This window comes from Homo sapiens, chromosome 6, assembly GCF_000001405.40.
Source record: "Homo sapiens chromosome 6, GRCh38.p14 Primary Assembly".
In the NCBI taxonomy this organism is placed as follows: domain Eukaryota; kingdom Metazoa; phylum Chordata; class Mammalia; order Primates; family Hominidae; genus Homo; species Homo sapiens.
The window spans coordinates 21226599-21245538 of record NC_000006.12 but is presented as its reverse complement, the minus strand read 5'-3'; the positions used below and the strand labels follow the sequence as shown (position 1 = coordinate 21245538).

Here is an 18940-nt window from a genome sequence, read left to right as displayed (position 1 = left end):
CAGCATAGACAGCAGTGTGACAGAGGTGGGTGACTTCCCATCAGAAAAGGTAACTTTTTCCCTTTTTTTATTAAGATAAAGAGTTTCACAAACAAATTTCATTACTTAAGATACATGGCTAAATGACGCCATTAGTAAGCAAAAAAAAAAAAAAAAAAAAAAAAAAAAATCTGGTCCATGGCATGATAAGATTAAAGCTGCCAATTTCTATTCACTCCTTCCTGGAAGGAATGAGGGAAAAAAGTGGCCCAAAAGAGTAATTAAAATAATGAAGATAACAAGTCCATGTCAGGCTGATGTTTGCGATAGATTAAAATTACCTGCTATCAAAGTTAAACTGCCTGAGAAATTACTTCCTGGCTCTGTTTGGAATAAAGAGAATTTGGAACTACCACATCTGATTACAAAACATTTAGAGAGACAGGAAAGATTGTCTGCAGAAGGGAGGACCTGGTACCTGTCACTGTCTGAAAACAGAGGAAGTTCTGACCAGTATTAAGTGGGTTCTGAAATTAATTGTTTTCCCTCTCCTGAAGGTCAAAAAGGAAAGAGAAAGGGCTAAATATAATTTCTTAGAAAAATATTACCAGTCTGGGACATTGCTTTTTGGCTGTAGGCATTAGAGAAAATTCACGTGCAGGCTTTACTTTTCCTCATCTGATAATTTTTAGAGCAAATTTCATGTATTAGAATTCCTTTTCCAGGTAAAGGAAATGTTCCCTTGGAAGGTACTGACTGGTGCCCACCGCCCACCCCTTGCTGTCTTTCCATAAGAGGAGGTGGCAAGTGTTTGAGTTTGTTTTCGTTATTGTTATTTCTGAGTGCTGTCTTAATGTCAATTGTTGTAAACCAAGGTTGACTAAGTAATTGAGAATCTGATGGTATGTTACCTTCCTGTACCGAGTAAAGTTTTGTGTTCCTCCGAGTTCCTTTGGCTGCCAAGGAGTGTTTGTTTTGTTTTGTTTTCTTCCAATGAACAAAATCTCTTTATTGTTTTAGGGAGATGGAGGGGAGAGGGCTTGTTTTTTTGTTTGTTTGTTTGTTGTTTTTTTGAGACAGAATCTCACTCTGTCACCCAGGCTAGAGTGCAGTGGTATGATCTTGGCCCACTGCAACCTCCGCCTCCTGGGTTCAAGTGATTCTCCCACCTTAGCCTCCCAAGTAGCTGGGATTACAGGCACCCACCACCACACCCAGCTAATTTTTGTATTTTTTGTAGAAATGGGGTTTTGCCATGTTGCCCAGGCTGGTCTTGAACTCCTGGCCTCAAGTGATCCGCCTGCCTTGGCCTCCCAGAGTGCTGGGGTTACAGGTATGCACCACAGCATCAGGCCAGGAAGGTTTTTTTTGTTTGTTTGCTGTCTCGCTCTGTCGCCAGGCTGGAGTGCAGTGGTGGAGTGCAGTGGTACCGTCTCAGCTCACTGCAACCTCCGACTCCCTGGTTCAAGTGATTCTCCTGCCTCAGCCTCCCAAGTAGCTGGGATTACAGGCATGCGCCACCATGCCCAGCTAATGTTTGTATTTTTAGTAGAGACAGGGTTTCACCATGTTGGCCAGGATGGTCTCGATCTCTTGACCTCGTGATCTGCCCACCTTGGCCTCCCAAAGTGCTAGGATTACAGGCGTGAGCCACCGTGCCTGGCCTTTTTTTTTTTTTAAATCCTGTTTTTTCTGTTCCCATCACCAATGTAATCTTATAAAAACCCAATTTGTTTGTGAGAGATTTCTCTGGGTCATTAGAATGGGCCCCAGAATACATAAAAAATGATATTGACAAATCAGCTGAGGTATGCTGGATTTTGTTTGTTTCACAGTGAAAGACCAAGTGGTTCCTTTGCATAATATGTGTGCAGATACACTGTAATCAAATTCCTAGGGTCTGCCTAGATATTTGGTGTGAAGAAGAGACACCACGATTAGACTCAAAGGCCATGCCAAGCTCTTCCCCATTTCTCAGTGAACCTTTGAAAACTCAGGCAATTCAGCTCTCACTTTTTGGCAATCTGGTATTTAGATATGGTGGGATCTCATTCCCATTTTTCATTTATTTATTCATTTGCTGAGTCTCCACTCTGGCATGGATAAATCAAGTGACACAACGGTGAATACACTACATACAACTGAACAGGTAAGTCCAGAGTCCTGCCCCAAAACATCTCAACACCAAAGAGAACGTTAAGGATTCTTATTCAGAAATGCCCTAAACTAGAAGGGTGGCCTCGGACAAGTCACTAAACTCTCCTAACCTCAGTCTCTCCATCTGTAAAATAAAGGAGTCCAACTCCATGCTCTATGAGCCCCTCTTGCTCTTACTCTAGGCTGACGTGCAGGGTTCACCACTCCTGCCTTTTCAAGAAAGACCAGGCTCCAGATGAAACAGACACAATTCCCTTTCATTGAGCACGGAGAAAGAGCAGTCTTTCTGTACAACCTACTCAAATCTTAACTCAAATTTTAAATATTACTATAAGAAAATTTAAATTCCCTGACACATTACAGAGGAACAGAGGTTGTTTAGGATTGATGACCAGATGGCAGCCGGTGGTGACTTTCTGGGGCTTTAAATTTGTGACTTCGATGTTAGGTTGCCACAGGTTTTTCATTTAATATTAATTGGAGATACTGCCGCTCCTCGGATATACAGCTTGACTTTGCCGTGGAACGTGAGGAAAAGCTGGTGTTAAATTGCCTTTTTCCCCTACTTTCTTTTTGACTAATATGTCTAGAGTCATTAAAAATATTCTTCTAACTAAACTGCAACGTTTTTAGCTACTGAATTTTCTTGTAGCTTTTTATAATTCTGATGGCACAAGGCAATCTGGTTTGATGAGATTAAAATTTTTAGACTGGTATCCAACCAACTTCTGTTTTTCTAAAGATTGCTTTGAAATTTTCAACCTTTCTGCCTTCAAAAATCTTGGAGGATTTTGGGTTAAGAGGGAAGAAGAGAAGAGGGATCCCAATTTAAGGCTTGGGATCTGACTTTGCATATATGGGGTTAGAGGAATGTATGAGAAGAAAAACTATCAGAGAATCAAGATGAAAAGATGAAATCAGGGAAATATGGAAGTAGTCAAGGGTAACAGCCATTCCAGAACTTTCTTTGAGAGCCTGCAGATCATTCTGTTAAAAAAGACACAAACCCAACCTGTCCTGAATGTTTCTCCATATAAAACATTTATATTATACATACATATATATATATATATATATATATATATTTTTTTTTTTTTTTTTAAAAGATGGAATCTCGCTCTGTTGCCCAGGCTGGAGCACAGTGGTGTGATCTCGGCTCACTGCAAGCTCCGCCTCCCGGGTTCACGCCATTCTCCTACCTCAGCCTCCCGAGTAGCTGGGACTATAGGCGCCTGCCACCACGCCTGGCTAATTTTTTTATATTTTATATTTTAAGTGGAATTTAAAAGATTCTTTACTTCCTGTGGTTGGGACCCAGACTCTATAAGCTCCATCTCCTGGTTCATTTTCTGTTTGACTTCTTATTTTACTCTTGACTATGGAACCAAATGAGATGTGATATTGACTATTCACCATTGTTTCCTGGGTGAGAGACTGTGCTATGATCAGGTTTACTTACTCAGGCCCAAAACACAGGGTTGAGACCACATTATAGTCTAGTTTTTCTGGTCTTGTGGACACCAAGTTTTAACACTTTAATGGGCCAATGATCAGAAATTTAGAGGTTTCCTGTGAAGTTTGGAATTAAGCACAGTGAACCACGAAGTGGTGTCTATGGTAGCAGAAACTCTTCCCTTACATCTCAAATGATACCAAGTAAGGTTGCAGAAATCACATGGGTTGAAAAAACAAAAAACAGAAACAAAAAACCAGAAGCATCTGCCTTCTGAGATCACAGCCTGAGATAGTTATCACGAGTGGCTTTTTTGTAAAGCATTTGCATCCATTTATTAAGAATAGAGCATATGAATTGTTAACTGAACAGATGTAGTAAGAGAATCTGAGACACAGAAAATCAAAACCAGAAAGCTGGAGTCAATTATTTAAATTGCAGTAGATAAGGAGAGAAGGTAGCGGGTGCTGGAGGGATAGAGGGTTGCTAGGTTTCCAGAAGCTATTCAGTGTGGAAGTGTCCAAGCGAAGATTAAGTGGGGATCAAAGATGCTGAACTACAAAGACAGGAGCTTGCCTCTTACTGAGGCACTTTCTTAATTAAGACAACAAAGGGATCCGCACATCCTTTCCAGCTATGTATTACAGCAACTATTGCAAAACAAAACTCCATTATCAGCAACAGTAAGATAAGATCTAGGATCAGTAATAGCAATGACAAGAACAAAAGCCACCACCAACTGGCTAAGTTGAGGCTTACTAATAGCTCTCCTGGAAATGGACACATTTGGAAGCTCAACAGTAGAAATTTAACTTTTCCCAAGCCTGAGAAAGTGACTACTATGTTGTATGTTTCCAAAAGTGTCAATATAGGGTATGGTAAGGGCACCCATTGACCGGGATTATCAATAGGAGAACCAGCTAACCTCCATATTGTCGCTGCTTATCTTTCCAAACATGAATCTCTTCATGGCCTGCAATGTTTACAAGCCTGTTTAGAAGCCTGTAGTGGCTCTCCCTTGACTACTGAATAAAGTCTAGATTCCTTGGCAGGGCATCAAAACCTTTCACAACATGACCTGAACTTATTTCTTAGTCTACTAGACACTTCCCTTGTATATTACTGCAGTTAAAACTTTTTAGTCATACCTAACATAGACTCTGTATCCATTAAGCAATAGAATCTCCTTCTTCCCACTCCCCTCAGTTCCTGATAACCTCTATTCTACTTTGTGTCTCTATGAATTTGCCTATTCTGGTTCCCCATGTAACTGGAGTCATACAATATTTGTCCTGTGTCTGGCTTATTTCACTTACCCTAATGTTTTCAAGGTTCATCTGTGTTGTAACATTTCACTCCTTTTTAAGGCTGAATAATATTCCATTGTATGGATATACTACATTTTGTTTATGCGTTCATCTGTCAATGGACTGTTGGGTTGTTCCCACCTTTTGGCTATTGTGAATAATGTTGCTATAAACATTGGTAAACAGACATCGGTTTGAGTTAAAGCTTTTAATTCCATTGGATATATAGTTAGGAGTGGAATATCTGGGTCATATGGTAGTTCTCGATTTAAATTTTGAGGCACCACTATTTTCCACAGTGGTTGCATCATTTTACGTTTCCACAGAAAATGTTTAAGGGTTTCAACTTCTCTACATCTTCACTAGCATTTGTTATTTTGTTTTTTTTTTAATTCAAAATTTATTTTAGATATAAGGGGTACATGTGCTGGTTTGTAACATGGGTATATTGCATGATGCTGAGGTTTGGGGTATGGATCCTGTCACCCAGGTAGTGAGCCTAGTACCCAATAGGTAATTTTTCAACTCATGACCCTTCCCTCCCTTCCCCCGTAGTAGTCTGAAGTATTTATTCTTCCCATATTTATGTCCATGTGTGCTCAATGTTTAGCTCCCACTTATAAGTGAGAACATGTGGTATTTAGTTTTCTGGGTTCCTGCATTAATTCATTTAGGATTGTGGCCTCCAGCTGCAATCTATTTGCTGCAAAGGATATGATTTCGTTTCTTTTTATGGCTATGTAGTATTCCATGGTGTATATGTACCACATGCTCTTTATCCAGTTCACCACTGATGTGCACCTAGGTTGATTTCATGTCTTTGCTATTGTGAATAGCATGGTGAACATGCAAGTGCATGTGTCTTTTTGGTAGAATGATTTATTTTCCTTTGGGTATATATACTCAAATTCGTATGAAAACAGAAAGGAGCCCAAATAGCCAAAGCAATCCTAAGTGAAAAGAACAAAGCTAGAGGCATCACACTACCTGACTTCAAACTATATTACAAGGCTACGGTAATCAAAACAACATGGTACTAGTTCAAAAACAGACACGTAGACCAATGGAACAGAAAATTCAGAAATAAAGCCACCCACTTACAACCATCTGATCTTTGACAAAGCAGATAAAAACAAACATTGGGGAAATGAATCTCTTTTTAATAAATTCGGCTGGGATAACTGGCTAACCGTATGCAGAAGAATGAAACTGGACCCCTCTCTTTCACCATACACAAAAATGAACTCAAGATAGATTAAAGATTTAAATGTAAGACCTCAAACTACAAAAAGCTTAGAAGAAAACCTAGGAAATATTTTTCTTCACATTGGCCTTGACAAAGAATTTTTAGCTAAGTCCTCAAAAGCAATTGCAACAAAAACAAAAATTGACAAGTGAGACCTAATTAAACTAAAGAGCTTCTGCACAGCAAAAGAAACTATCAACAGAGTAAACAGACAACCTACAGAATGGGAGAAAAATATTTGCAAACTATATTTCTGACAAAGGTCTAATATTCAGAATCTATAAGGAACTTAAATCAACAGGCAAAACCCCAAAACTGTTAAAAAATGGGCAAAGTACATGAACAGACACTTCTCAAAAAAAGACACACAAGAGACCAACAAACACATGAGAAAATGCTCATCACTGTCAGAGAAATCAAAACCACAGTGAAATACCATCTCATACCAGTCAGAATAGGTATTATTAAAAAGTCAAAAAAAAACAACAGATGCTGGCAAGACTGCAAAGAACATAGAGAAAACTTATACTCTGGTTGGTGGGTATGTAAATTAGTTCAGCCATTGTGGAAAACAGTTTGGAGATTTCTCAAAGAACTTAAACAGAGCTACCATTTTCTATTTTTTTAAATAGCAGTCTCCTAATGGGTGAGATAATATCTCATAATTTTAATTTGCAATTCCCCAGTGATGAATGATGTTGAGCATCTTTTTATGTGTTTATTAGCCATTTGTATATCTTCTTTGGAAAAATATCTATTCAAATCCTTTACTTATTTTTGAATTAGGGTGTTTGTGATTTGTTGTAGTTGTTGTTGAGTTGTAGGAATTACCTTGGATGTTAATCCCTTCTCAGATATATGATTTACATTTTCGCCCATTCTGTAGGTTGTCTTTTGCCTTCTTGATAACGTTCTTTGATGCACAAAAGTTATTAATTTTGATGAAGTCCATTTTTTTGTTACCTGTACTTTTGGTGTCATATTTATGACATCATTGCCAAATCCAATGTCATGAAGATTTTCCCTAATGTTTTCTTCTATGAGTTTTATAATTTTAACTCAAGTTTAAGTATTTGATCCATTTTGAGGTAATTTTTGTACATGGTATAAGGTGAAGTCCAACTTTATTCTTTTGCACATGGATATCCAGTTTTCCCCACAGCATTTGTTGAAAATACTGTCCTTTCTCTATTTAATGGTGTTGGCGCCCTTGTTGAAAATCAATTGATTACATATGTGAGAATTTATTTCTGGGCTTTCTACTCTAGTCCTTTGGTCTCTGTCTGTCCTTAAGCAGGTATCACAGTTGTAGTTACTGTAGCTTTGTTGGAAGTTTTGAAGTTGGAAAACATGAGTCCTCCAGTTTTAGTCTACTTTTTAGAGATTGTTTTAGCTATTTGGGGTTGCCTGTGATTCCATATGAGTTTGAGGGTTGGCTTTTCCATTTTGGTAAAACAGGCTGTTAGAATTTTGATAGAGAGTGTGTTTAATCTGTAGCTCACTTTGGGTAGTATTAACATCTTAATGCTAAGTTTTCCTATTAATGAACATACGATACCTTTCCATTTTTCAGATATTCATAAATTTCTTTCAGCAATGATTTTTAGTTTTCAGCATACAAATCTTTTACCCCCTTAGTTAGATATATTCCTAAGTGTTTAATTTGTTTAGCTGCTATTGTAGATGGAACTGCTTTCTCAATTTCCTTTTCGGATTGTTCATTGCTAGTGTAAAAAAACACAAATGAATTTCTTTTTTTGCATTGGTCTTATAGTCTGTAACTTTGCTAAATTCATTTATTAGCTCTAGTTGCTTTCCTGTGGTTTCTTTGGGATGCTTTATACATATGATCATGTAATCTGCAAATAGAGATAGTGTTACCTACTCCTTTCCAATTTGATGCCCTTTACTTCTTTTTGTTGTCTAATAGTTCTCACTAGAACTCCCAGTACAATGTAAACAGCAGTGGTGAAAGCAGGCATTGGGCTTTGGAATCAGACTGTCTAGTATAACATCTATTGGTTTGTGATTAATTGGGCATATTAAAAGCAGATTAGATAAACCTCGGAGTTAAAAACTCATACTTCTTTAGGTTTTTCTGAACTCCAAGTTTTCCTTTACCTTGACCCAAGGTTGTTCTCCTCCATCCCCCTGCTTTTTTTTTTCCTGAGAACTTGCATCATTAGTGCTCAGAAATGTATTCAGATACCCAGAAGCTAGGAAGATCATGAGACACCAAGTGACATCCTTTGCTTCAGCTTCTACACCGTTGAGATATTTTGGCTATAGAACTCTAGGAAACAGTACTGGGAGAAAATAATTGACAGAAAACTAATCAAGAATAATAGTGTCTGCATTTCCTTTTAGTCTCAAAGCAGGATGGGGGAGGGCATGACTTCTAGGCCTCCCTATTAATCTGGTTGCTCTTTTCATCTTTGGCCATGGAAAATCTCCTTCTTGATCTTAGATTGGCCACCCAAATCTGTGCTCCACACTATTCATTAATTTGATCTCCTCAAATACAGCTGCAGTCCATTGCCTTTGAATTTTTCTTCCTTTGCTGCATTTGTTAGAATCAGACTCTATCTCTCTCAAGGTAGGAATCTTTTTATTCCATATATAAATCTTTTGGGTGGTCATGTGTTGATATCAGAATTTAAAACACCTAACTTTATTTATAAAGGTATTTTTCACCTTTAAGTGGCTACAGTAATCAAAAAAGAGGAGGAAATGTCATGTGTCAAGAATACAGTATTTTATATGCATGAGTTCACTTATCTTTCAATGACCCACAATGGAATCTTGTTCCTGTTTTAGAGATGTGGCTCAAAAAGAAAAAGTGGTCTGGCTGGAATTTAAAGTTTTGCTGATGTCAAAAATCTCATGGTCTTTCCTTATATTTTCTGCCTCAAATTTGTATTGGAAACAACTGAGAGCTGAATCCAAGTGATTCTGATTGTTAACTCCTTTACAGTTTCAACATCATAAAAATCAAACTCAACGGCAAGTCCAGTGTAAATTTATCAAACACATGCTATGGATAATCTAACTTTAAAGTAAGGGGAAAATATTTTGAGAAGGGATTAGGACTCCAGATTATAAGTTTGACATGGATCCTTTAAATTAGGTTGTATCATAGAGCAGAGGTTTTCAAACTTTCTTGATTGTTTGTACCCCTAGGCCAAAAGCAGCAGCTAACCTTCTGTTTAAATAGGTAATCCTGACAACTGAATAAGCATTTATATCCTACTATCTTATGAGAACCGTTTGAAAAAATAATACATGTAACTTAGATAAAAATATTAATATTTTATTTCATATTAATTTTACTTATTAATGGCAGCTGTGCATCTGTTGGGTACAGCACCCCTTCTCAAACCTTGGACTATGATCACAATTTTCACTTCTTGTTCCACATTGATTTTCACTTGATACTTGCTTTTTATCACAGCAATTGCTGAAAATCCAGTTTTATAAAGACATGGTGTCATCAAAATTTGTGAAATCTAACGTTGAAAACTGTGAACTATTTTGAGCTGGTAGTTGGCCTGGTATCTGACAGATGTTGCTGTGTTCCCTCCAAAAATTTAAGGAATCCCAGGGTGCTCCTGTGAATGTGCCACAGCATCCTGGGGTGCCTGGGGGGACCAGCAAACCTTTTAGAAAACGTACATATTCATTTTTTATTGTGAGTATTTAAGGTGAACATGTATTGATACACATATACACAGCAAAATGGTGGCTACAGTCAAGTGAATTACCATACCCATCATCTCATATGATTACCTTTTTTGTTGTTGCTGCAAGCCTTAAGAATATCTTTTCTCCTTTTCTTTTTCTTCCTTTTCTCTCCCCTCCTTTCTTCTCTTCCCTCCCTCTCTCTCTTCATTTTTTTCCTATGTTTGTTTTATGATGACAAACCCTCTTGAAGCTTGATTTGTAACTCTAATTCTCCCTCCATGACATCTTACAATATACACTGAAATTTTCAACCTGGAGTGAAGTCAGTAGAAGTAGTATATGTTTTGACTGAATGACATATGGAAATCTGATGTTTAGACACATTTTCCCAGCAACAAAGCAAAGTTTTAACCCAAGAATTCTTTACATTCTCAAACTGACTATCTCATGCTGGGATGATAAGAAAGGAAGCAGGGATGATAAGATGAAGCAGGGACAATAGAAAGGAGGGAAAGAAAGAAGGAAGGAAGGAGGGGGCAGGGCAAAGAAAAAAGCTTGATTAGTAAATCTTTATTTAAAAAGTATATCAAGTACCATGCACATTCTTGGAGCAGGACAACACAGACTGAAAGGCTGAAGGCCCCCAAGCTCAGGCATCCACAGGATTGATCCTAAATGTGTATCTGTTGGCACAGGTCAAGTTTAAGTCAAAGATGGGACAGAGGAGCAGGAGGAGTTTACAGAAGAGGAGTATATGCTTTGGAGTCAGGCTGTGTACCAGTCCTGCCTCTAAACTTAAGAGCTCTGTGCCTCTTGCACAAGTTACTTAGTCTTTTGAGTTTTAGATTTTCTTCTCAGTATGATGGGAATCACAATACGTATCTCAAAATTTTTTCTTCAGGACTGATTAACACCTGTTAAGTGCAAAGTATAACATCCAGTGCATTTCATTTAAGGACTAGACAGTTAATGGTTGTCAATATTATCATTACTATTAAAATAGGAATGACTTGTGGAAGGGAGACAGCAGAGACAAGGTCTGCTGAAGAATATCTAAGGTCCAAAGAGAAAAAATAGTGGGAGAATGACAGAATTCATGTCAACTGCTGGTGGGGATGTAAATTGGTACAACCACTTCAGAAAACCATTTAGCAGTATCTAAGCTGAACATATGCAAATGCTATGACCCAGCAATTCCACCCCTAGACATGTACTCCTCACATCATCACATAAACACTTAACAAAACGTGTTTATAGCAGCATTATTCATAATAGACAAAAAATTGGAAAGAACTCAAATGTAGAATGAACAATGTGGTGTACTCATACACTGAAATACTATTCAGCAATGAACGTGAAGTAATTACTGCTCACACAATAATCTGGATGTGTCTCACAATCACTGTAGAACAAAAGAAGGTAGACATGAAATAGTGCATACTACATGATTCCACTTATAGAAAGTTTAGAATCAGGCAAATCAATCTGTAATGTTAGAAATAAGGATACTGGTTACTCCTTGCGGGGCAGACTTAATGGCTAGGAGGGTACATGGGGAGCCTCCTGGTGCTGGCTACAATGCTTGCTCAGTTTTTAAAAATCCCTGTATCCCTATGATTTATGTCCATTTCATATGTATGTTTTATTCTAGTAAAGAGTTTAAGAAAAAAATTGGCCAAAGCATTGAAAAGATCACTTCATAGGTTTCCTTCTCAGCAGAGAAGTACACACACACACACACACACACACACACACACACACACCCCTTGATACTAATGCAAAGCATACAAAAGCATACAAAGAAAACATAACAATTACATTTACAATCTGCGGGTCAAGCATCCTATCACGGCTGACACTTCGTATAAATCAGGTTACGAATGCTACGGCTACGACCCCCAGATGCCGGTGGCTTAACACAACCACAATATATTTCTGGTTCCTGATGCCTATGTAGCACATGCTGGCCAGGAGCCCTACTCAACTGTACTAACTCAGGGACCCAGGGTCGGGGAGGCGTCATTCTGACATATGGGTCCAGGATCACCACAGCAGTGGGAAGAGCACACAGTAAACCGTACACCAGCTCTGAACATGTCTGCCCCGAAGAAGGACGTGACCCTTCCGCTCACATTTCACATTTCGTGCCTAACTTCAGCGGGGCGGGAGAAGCGCAGTTGCACTGTGGGCAGGAAGGAGACAGGCTGGAAAAGTAACAGCTCTACTCATGATCACACTTGCTCCCGTGGTTCCCAGACTCAGCCCCATTCAGAGTCCAGGGCTTAAGAAAACTGTTTTTAACTTGCACTGCATCCTTCTCTGCTCTCTCCCTCCCCCTCCCTAGAGATGGAGGTCACAGGGGGAAGAAAAACCCTGGATTTCCAGAACACTGCTACCCCTCTCACCAATTGGTCGCCAGTATGGAGACTGATTTCATGAAGGTCCAGCGTCTGCTGCGGGCAGTGACCTCGGTCCCTTTCTGGGTCAAACGGCAGAGTGAAGCTGCAGCCAAATTGAGGGTAAATAACAGTCACAGCAGGAAGTAGGGAGAATCCTGTACAGCTGAAACGATCCTTGAGGATCCCTGCCATGGTAGGTGAGAGCAGCAGGGGGGGAATTTGGATGACTGGGTGTATCATTCTCTTACAGGAAGAAAAAAATGAAAAAAGGCGAGGACAGCATAGAGCTAGAAGGGAGGAAATAAACAGATGAGGGAGTGAGGAAAAGAGTAGGGAAAGAGAAAAGGGAGGTAGAAAAAATCCTTTTTGTCTCCAATCAGTTACAGGTGTAAAGCTTTCTCTATGTCTGATCTAGTGCAACTCTAGGCTTTGGATGGCATTTTTATCTCTGCTAGGTTTTTGTTAAATGAGCACCACACTGGAACCCACTGTTTATTAACAAAGAAATGACTGCGTAGAGCTCAAGAAGGGAGGCACATGGTAGGTTCTTGTCCTCTTCTCATTCCTGCTAAGAAGTGAGGGGTGCTCCCAAGTGGATGTTTCACTGCAGGACTAGAAGCAGCACAGGAGGATTTTTGCATTCTAAATGTGAGCACCTCTTAGAAGCACATACCAGTTCCAGGAGAAATGTACTAACACTAAAAGCATATATATTTTATAATTTACCAACTAGGACATGACTGAATTTTAATTTGGGTTCCTTAAAAGACACACAAAACACAAACATTTTGAGTTAAATGTAAGAGCTGAAGAGGGGTATGGGTTTCGAGATGGAAAATATCCTATGGTAACTACACGGTACCTGGTTTTCCTGTACCTATGCAATCCAAATAAATTCTCAAAAACATAGGATTTGCTTAGTATACCAATTCTATTTATTGTTAAAGAAAGAAGTCACTTCACTTAGTAAAGACCAATGATGGCAGGTAGAAATAAAAACATTTAATCTGGGCTGGGTGGAGTGGCTCACGCCTGTAATCCCAGCACTTTGGGAGGCTGAGGCAAGAAGACTGCTTGAGGCTAGGAGTTCCAGGCAAGCCTGGGCAACATAGTGACACTCATCTCTACAAAAAATTAAAAAATTAGTTGGGCATGGTGGTATATGCCTGTAGCCCCTGGCTATTAGGGAGGCTGAGGTAGGAGGACTGCTTGAGTCCAGGAGGTCAAGGCTGCAGTGAGCCAAGATAGTGCCATTGCACTCCAGCCAGGGTGACAGAGTGAGACCTTGACTCAAAAAAAAAAAAAAACAAAAACAAAAAAAAAACCCCAATGGATCAAAAATGTGAGAAAATGGGCACAATTAGTTTTCGACAAATCCAGTTTTCCAGTTTCATATTTCACAGAATGTTGCCAGGAGTCCTTTAGCTGGCAGACTCTCCCCGTGCATTCCAAAAGCATTCAGGTTCCCAGAACAGGTTTCTATACACTTTTCAGGAACACATCTGCTGTGAAAAATACAATGTTTGTAGCACTGGGACTCCAAACAAAGCCTGAAGGGGAAGATGCACTTAAAAATATTTATTAAAGAGGCCGGGCGCAGTGGCTCACGCCTGTAATCCTAGCACTTTGGGAGGCCGAGGCGGGCGGATCACTTGAGGTCAGGAGTTCGAGACTAGCCTGGCCAACATGGTGAAACTCCGTCTCTACTGAAAACACAAAAAAATTGTCTGGGCTTGGTGGCGCATGCCTGTAATCCCAGCTACTTGGGAGGCTGAGGCAGGAGAATCGTTTGAACCCAGGAGGCAGAGGTTGCAGTGACCTGAGATCGTGCCACTGCACCACTCCAGCCTGGGGGACAAGAGCGAAACTCCATCTGGAAAAAAAAAACAAAGAAAAAGTTTATTAAAGATAGAAAATTCTTCCACATGAGGAAAAGATGGCCAGAGCCACTGTACAATTAGGTTCTGACTTAAAGATTAGAGATTGAAACAAACAGAAAAAAATGCAACCGCTTGCATTTCTTGCTAAAAGTAAACCAAAAGCAGTTTAATTTGAAGGATGTGCTATGGTAGCGGTGATTAGGTTTTAGGTCAAATAACCAATGGGCCCAACTCAATGTGAGACAGGGGGAGCCTCATTAAGAAGAGTGGCTGAGAAGGAGGCAGCATGACCAGTACAAATTATTGCCCTTGGAGAATGGAGATGTCGCTTTCCTGTTCATTGAAGATTTTAATTAGAAATGTATTCTTCTTTATAGATGTTTCCATTAGTTGTATTCTAATTATAGACCTTGACAAAAAAAGCAAAAAGAAGACCCAGCAGAGCCAAGCCCACGGACATCCTCAGCGCACAGTCTTGATGTAGCCTTGGCATGGGCAGCACCATTCTGGAACTCGCTGAGTCACACTGAGATGCAGCAGAGGTGTGGGATCCTGAACTCAGCTGGTTCCCAAGCCCATTTCTGAAGTCCTATAAAGAGAGAAACAGAGGAAAAAATTATTTTTAGATGCAGAGAAAGCCCTGTTGTGATATCAATCAAGCAATGGGTTCCAGAAGGTGCCGCCTTTTATGTACTCCTTCAACAGAGACACGTTTGAACACCCACCATGGGCCAGGTGGCCCCAAGGTAGGTATGAATGAGTCAGTTCCTTTCCTTGAAGGGCCAGGCCAAGTTCATGACTCCAGACTACACATAAACTGTATGAGAAAGACGGGCCGTGTTTATAGAAAATCAAGGCAGAATTCATGAAGGGTAGAATCTGTGTAAAGTGGAGTCATACCACAGACATATTTAACTCTTAGAGAGATGCAACCATATCTTCTCAGCAATGGAAGAATGACAAAGAAACACCATGGGCCAGGTGTGGTGGCTCACGCCTGTAATCCCAGCACTTTGGGAGGCCAAGGCGGGCTGATCACTTGAGGTCAGAGGTTTGAGACCAGCCTGGCCAACATGGTGAAACCCCGTCTCCACTAAAAATATAAAAATTAGCTGGGTGTGGTGGCAGGTGCCGGTAGTCCCAGCTACTCTGGAGGCTGAGGCAGGAGAATTGCTGGAACCTGGAAGGTGAAGGCTACAGTGAGCCAAGATTGCGCTGCTGCACTCCAGCCTGGGCAACAGAGTGAGACCCTGTCTCAAAAACAAACAAACCAACCAACAACCATGGAAGCCATGATTCAGCAAACACATCCCTAGGACAAAGATTCCCAGCTGGTCTGCTGCCACAGGAGGGCTGCGCCAAGAGTGACCCACCCCACATAACCCCACACTCAGTCCCCTCAAAGTACCTTGTGTGCCATACAAATACTATCATCATTTTCTCTTCATGCCAGATAGAGAACAGGTTGGGAAACCCTGCTTGGGCAGAGCTGAGAAGCTGGGGACCTGACTGTGCAGCTTTTCTCAGTGGTTTCTGTTCACCGGCTTCTTAGCTGGTGTCCAGGGAAGCGGAGAGAGGAGCACCTGGCTATTGTCAGGGTGGCTCTAGTTTCGAAGCACAATTGATGATATTTTCACCTCGTGTACCTGCTTCAGAATCGGTGCCTCCCCCAATAACATGGGACTCCCCTGTTGAAACCTGAATAACATTTTGAGAGATGGAAGGAGGGGTGTGGAAGGAGCAGATGAGAAATGCTAGATGGAAGGAAAAATGCTAGGGCGGAGGGGCAGCCCAGAGGCGGTGCAGGACAGGACAGGAAATCCACAGAAGCACAAAGTATCTTTGAACAACCATGGTACTTTGCTCAGTCTTCCCTTCCAAGCGCTCTAGCAACCTCCTGGTACCTCTTTGGCTTCTGTTTGGGAAGCTGCATCTCAGCATGCACAGGAGAGACACTGGAATGGTGCTTTGCAGAAGGTAACAGGAACAGGAATGTGTGGGGTGGACTGAAGGGAGGCAGGAGAATGGGGTAGAAAATCCAGTGGTAAGTTGTAGCAACAGATGAAATGGGAGATAATGAGGACCTCTATCAGGATGACGGCAGAGGGAACAACAGACTTTTGATGTAGAATCAATAGGATTTGAATTCAAAGGATTGGGTAATGCAAGACACAAAGAATAGGAATGGGGAAATGAAAACAACTTCTACAGCCCAGTTTCCACAGGCTCCTATTTATATGTGATTGTGTGGGAAGAATTCTTGCTCTGTCTGTAGAAGGCTAACAGCAGAATTAACACAGCTGTTAGCCACAAGGAAAAGTCTCTCAACCATAATGACAGTGGAAGCATTATTTACTGCTGCACTCCTCAGGTATCCGGGCCGATATCCTGCTGGTCTCCCTGCACTCTGAGTCCTTCGTAAGGAGGCACACAGCTGGACAGAATGGGACCATCCTTCCCATGGCAGGGGGAGGCAAGAGCTGGAGCTCAGTGGTGCACGAAGACCTGTCCCCATCCCCAGGAGACAGCTCTCTTATGAGGGTGGCTTTTTGCGTAATATTTTGGAGTGAGGTTTATGCTGAAGAGCTTCCATTTCTATTTAAAATAGCCTCAAGATCTCAAGGACAGCACTCACATATATGTGGGAACCTGGAGAAAGAATGCAGAGTCCTTCAGCTGAATTGATTGATAGGAACTATGTGAGTTCCTCAAAAGCAGCGAGTCTGCCTAATTCATCTCTGAAATCTTGGAACCTAGCAGGCTGCAGTCACAGAGCAGGTACTCAGTAAGTGTTTAGGAATGAATGAATGAATGACTGATCGAGTGAATAATATGAGAGTGTGTATTCCAATGAGATGAGCAACCATCAAGAACATTCTCATCTATGTCTCTGGTGATCAATGTGTCCTGTGATACATTCAGGAAGCTATTCTACTTGAGTCACAAATTGTTGCCTCTAGCAATTAAACCATCACTTTATAAGTGTGGTGTTATAAGACCAGAATTAAGAGGTTGATTAATTTCTCCGAGGCCTGAGTTCTTTAACCTTTGTAAGTCATAGATGGCTTTGAGAAGACTACACAGACCCTTCCAGAAAAATATGGAAGCACATTTACATATCCACACAGCCTCGCTCACACTCTTGTCTTCAGGAGGTTCACAGATACCTTCACCCAGGAGTGGACCCAGATTTTGTGGGTCCTGAAGCCTTCTCTTTAAGAAAAAAATAATGAATACAAAATTAGGTACAGGGTCTTGGAAGGGGCCCCTCAAATTGAGAGACCCCGAAACTGGCTACACGAGCTTCAGGGAAAATCCACCCTTTTCCCTATCCCCAGTTCAGAATGCTTGACCTTGGTTCTGAACCTGTGCCATGATTAGTGGTGCCAGGCCAGGTGTCAGGCTGACCTGGGGAAGGACTAGGTGAGTCTTAAAATCTTAAGCATTTAGTTGGGTTGATAACACGTTTTGTTTTTTGTTTCATGAAGCAGTGCAGGTACTGCGCCTTCTTGGCCTGGGTTAAAATAAAAGCAAAACTCTTTGACTTCTGATGACAATTTCAGAAAATTTCTTCTCCTTTCAACTCATCTGCCATAAAATTTTGTTCAAAATAAAGTTACCTACTGAACTACCGGAGAGGATTATTTGTGGTCATGTTAAGTTTAGTCATTCTTCCTCGGGCATCCTTTTTTTCTCTCCACCCCTCAGATGTTTAACATATTTGAACATAACTGATTCATAAAGGTATTTTGGTGCTGAGCTTTCCTCCTGTGCCTGCTGGACAAGTCTGCACCCTGCATCCTGCAGAGAAGCAGAAGCATGCATATGCAGCCACAAGATTTGCCACTCTCTTGAGGATCAAGGCGGGAGCGTGACCGCGGAGCAGGAGAGGGTAAATGCATCCTGTCTCTATTGTGCTGTGCCCTTTTATTATTTTCACCTTTTACCAAATCAAGATCTTGATAAAAGGATTTTGATGATACTATTTTTAAACATAATATTTTTAAAGTTTCTCAGATGACAGAGTAATTAATAATCAGTAGCTAGCTAGCTTTGCACATTTCAATTGTCACTACCACTGAGATACTTAAGAAAAAGTAGTTTAGAAATATGGGAAATATGAGATCTTATAAAGTCCAAGATGCTCAAACATGTAAATGTACAACCATACCAGTTGAAAGCAGGGATCATGAATAGAAAATAATGTAATAAAAAGTGCTTATAGGCGAAGTGATTATAAACAGCCGATAGAAAAAGTCGACACACACACGACAAGCGTAGTTCTAGAAAGTAAACAGAGGCTCAGACCTTCCCTAAACCTTTAAAACCTTATCAAGATTGTCAATTCCTGAAATTCAATACATATCTGCATCGCTCAAAGTATCATACACCAAATTCGAATAATGTTATTGCTTATTAAAACAAACTGGGGCTGGGTGCGGTGGCTCACGCCTACAATCCCAGCACTTTGGGAGGCCGAGGCGGATCACGAGGTCAGGAGATGAGACCATCCTGGCTAACACGGTGAAACCCCGTCTCTATTAAAAATACAAAAAATGAGCCAGGCGTGGTGGCGGGAGCCTGTAGTCCCAGCTACTCGGGAGGCTGAGGCAGGAGAATGGTGTGAACCCAGGAGGCGAAGCTTGCAGTGAGCCGAGATCGCGCCACTGCACTCCAGCCTGGGTGACAGAGTGAGACTCCATCTCAAAAACAAAACAAAACAAAACAAAAACAGCAACAACAAAAAAAACAAGCTGGAACATCAACTCAGACAATTTTTAAGAACTCAAATTCTACTCAGAAATGCTTTTTTAAAAACAGAAATTTGAAACAAGGCA

General features: G+C 40.7%; 1 protein-coding gene and 1 long non-coding RNA gene across 7 annotated transcripts in view, besides 1 other annotated feature; one reads left to right on the top strand and one right to left on the bottom strand.

The window, feature by feature from the left end:
• CDKAL1 (CDKAL1 threonylcarbamoyladenosine tRNA methylthiotransferase) overlaps positions 13135–18940 on the bottom strand; it is a 697948-nt gene continuing 692142 nt past the window's right edge. For all 6 annotated transcript variants that reach the window (XM_047418949.1, XM_047418952.1, NM_017774.3 and 3 more), the window contains one exon: positions 13135–14691. In XM_047418949.1, coding sequence (XP_047274905.1) covers positions 14500–14691 — 192 coding nt within the window. In that variant the 3' untranslated portion in view covers positions 13135–14499. The remainder of the gene's footprint in view (positions 14692–18940) is intronic.
• Positions 14119–15318: an enhancer, noted in NCBI's record as "MED14-independent group 3 enhancer chr6:21230452-21231651 (GRCh37/hg19 assembly coordinates)". NCBI's record gives its function as "activates an origin of replication core promoter dependent on BRD2, BRD4, P300/CBP and CDK7 cofactors, and independent of MED14, by STARR-seq in HCT116 cells {active_cell/tissue: HCT116}" and the evidence as "EXISTENCE:reporter gene assay evidence [ECO:0000049][PMID:35650434]".
• On the top strand, positions 14480–17735 carry LOC107986578 (uncharacterized). Its single transcript, XR_001744021.2, has 2 exons — positions 14480–14848; positions 16711–17735. It is a non-coding gene; the product is annotated as an uncharacterized LOC107986578 (long non-coding RNA).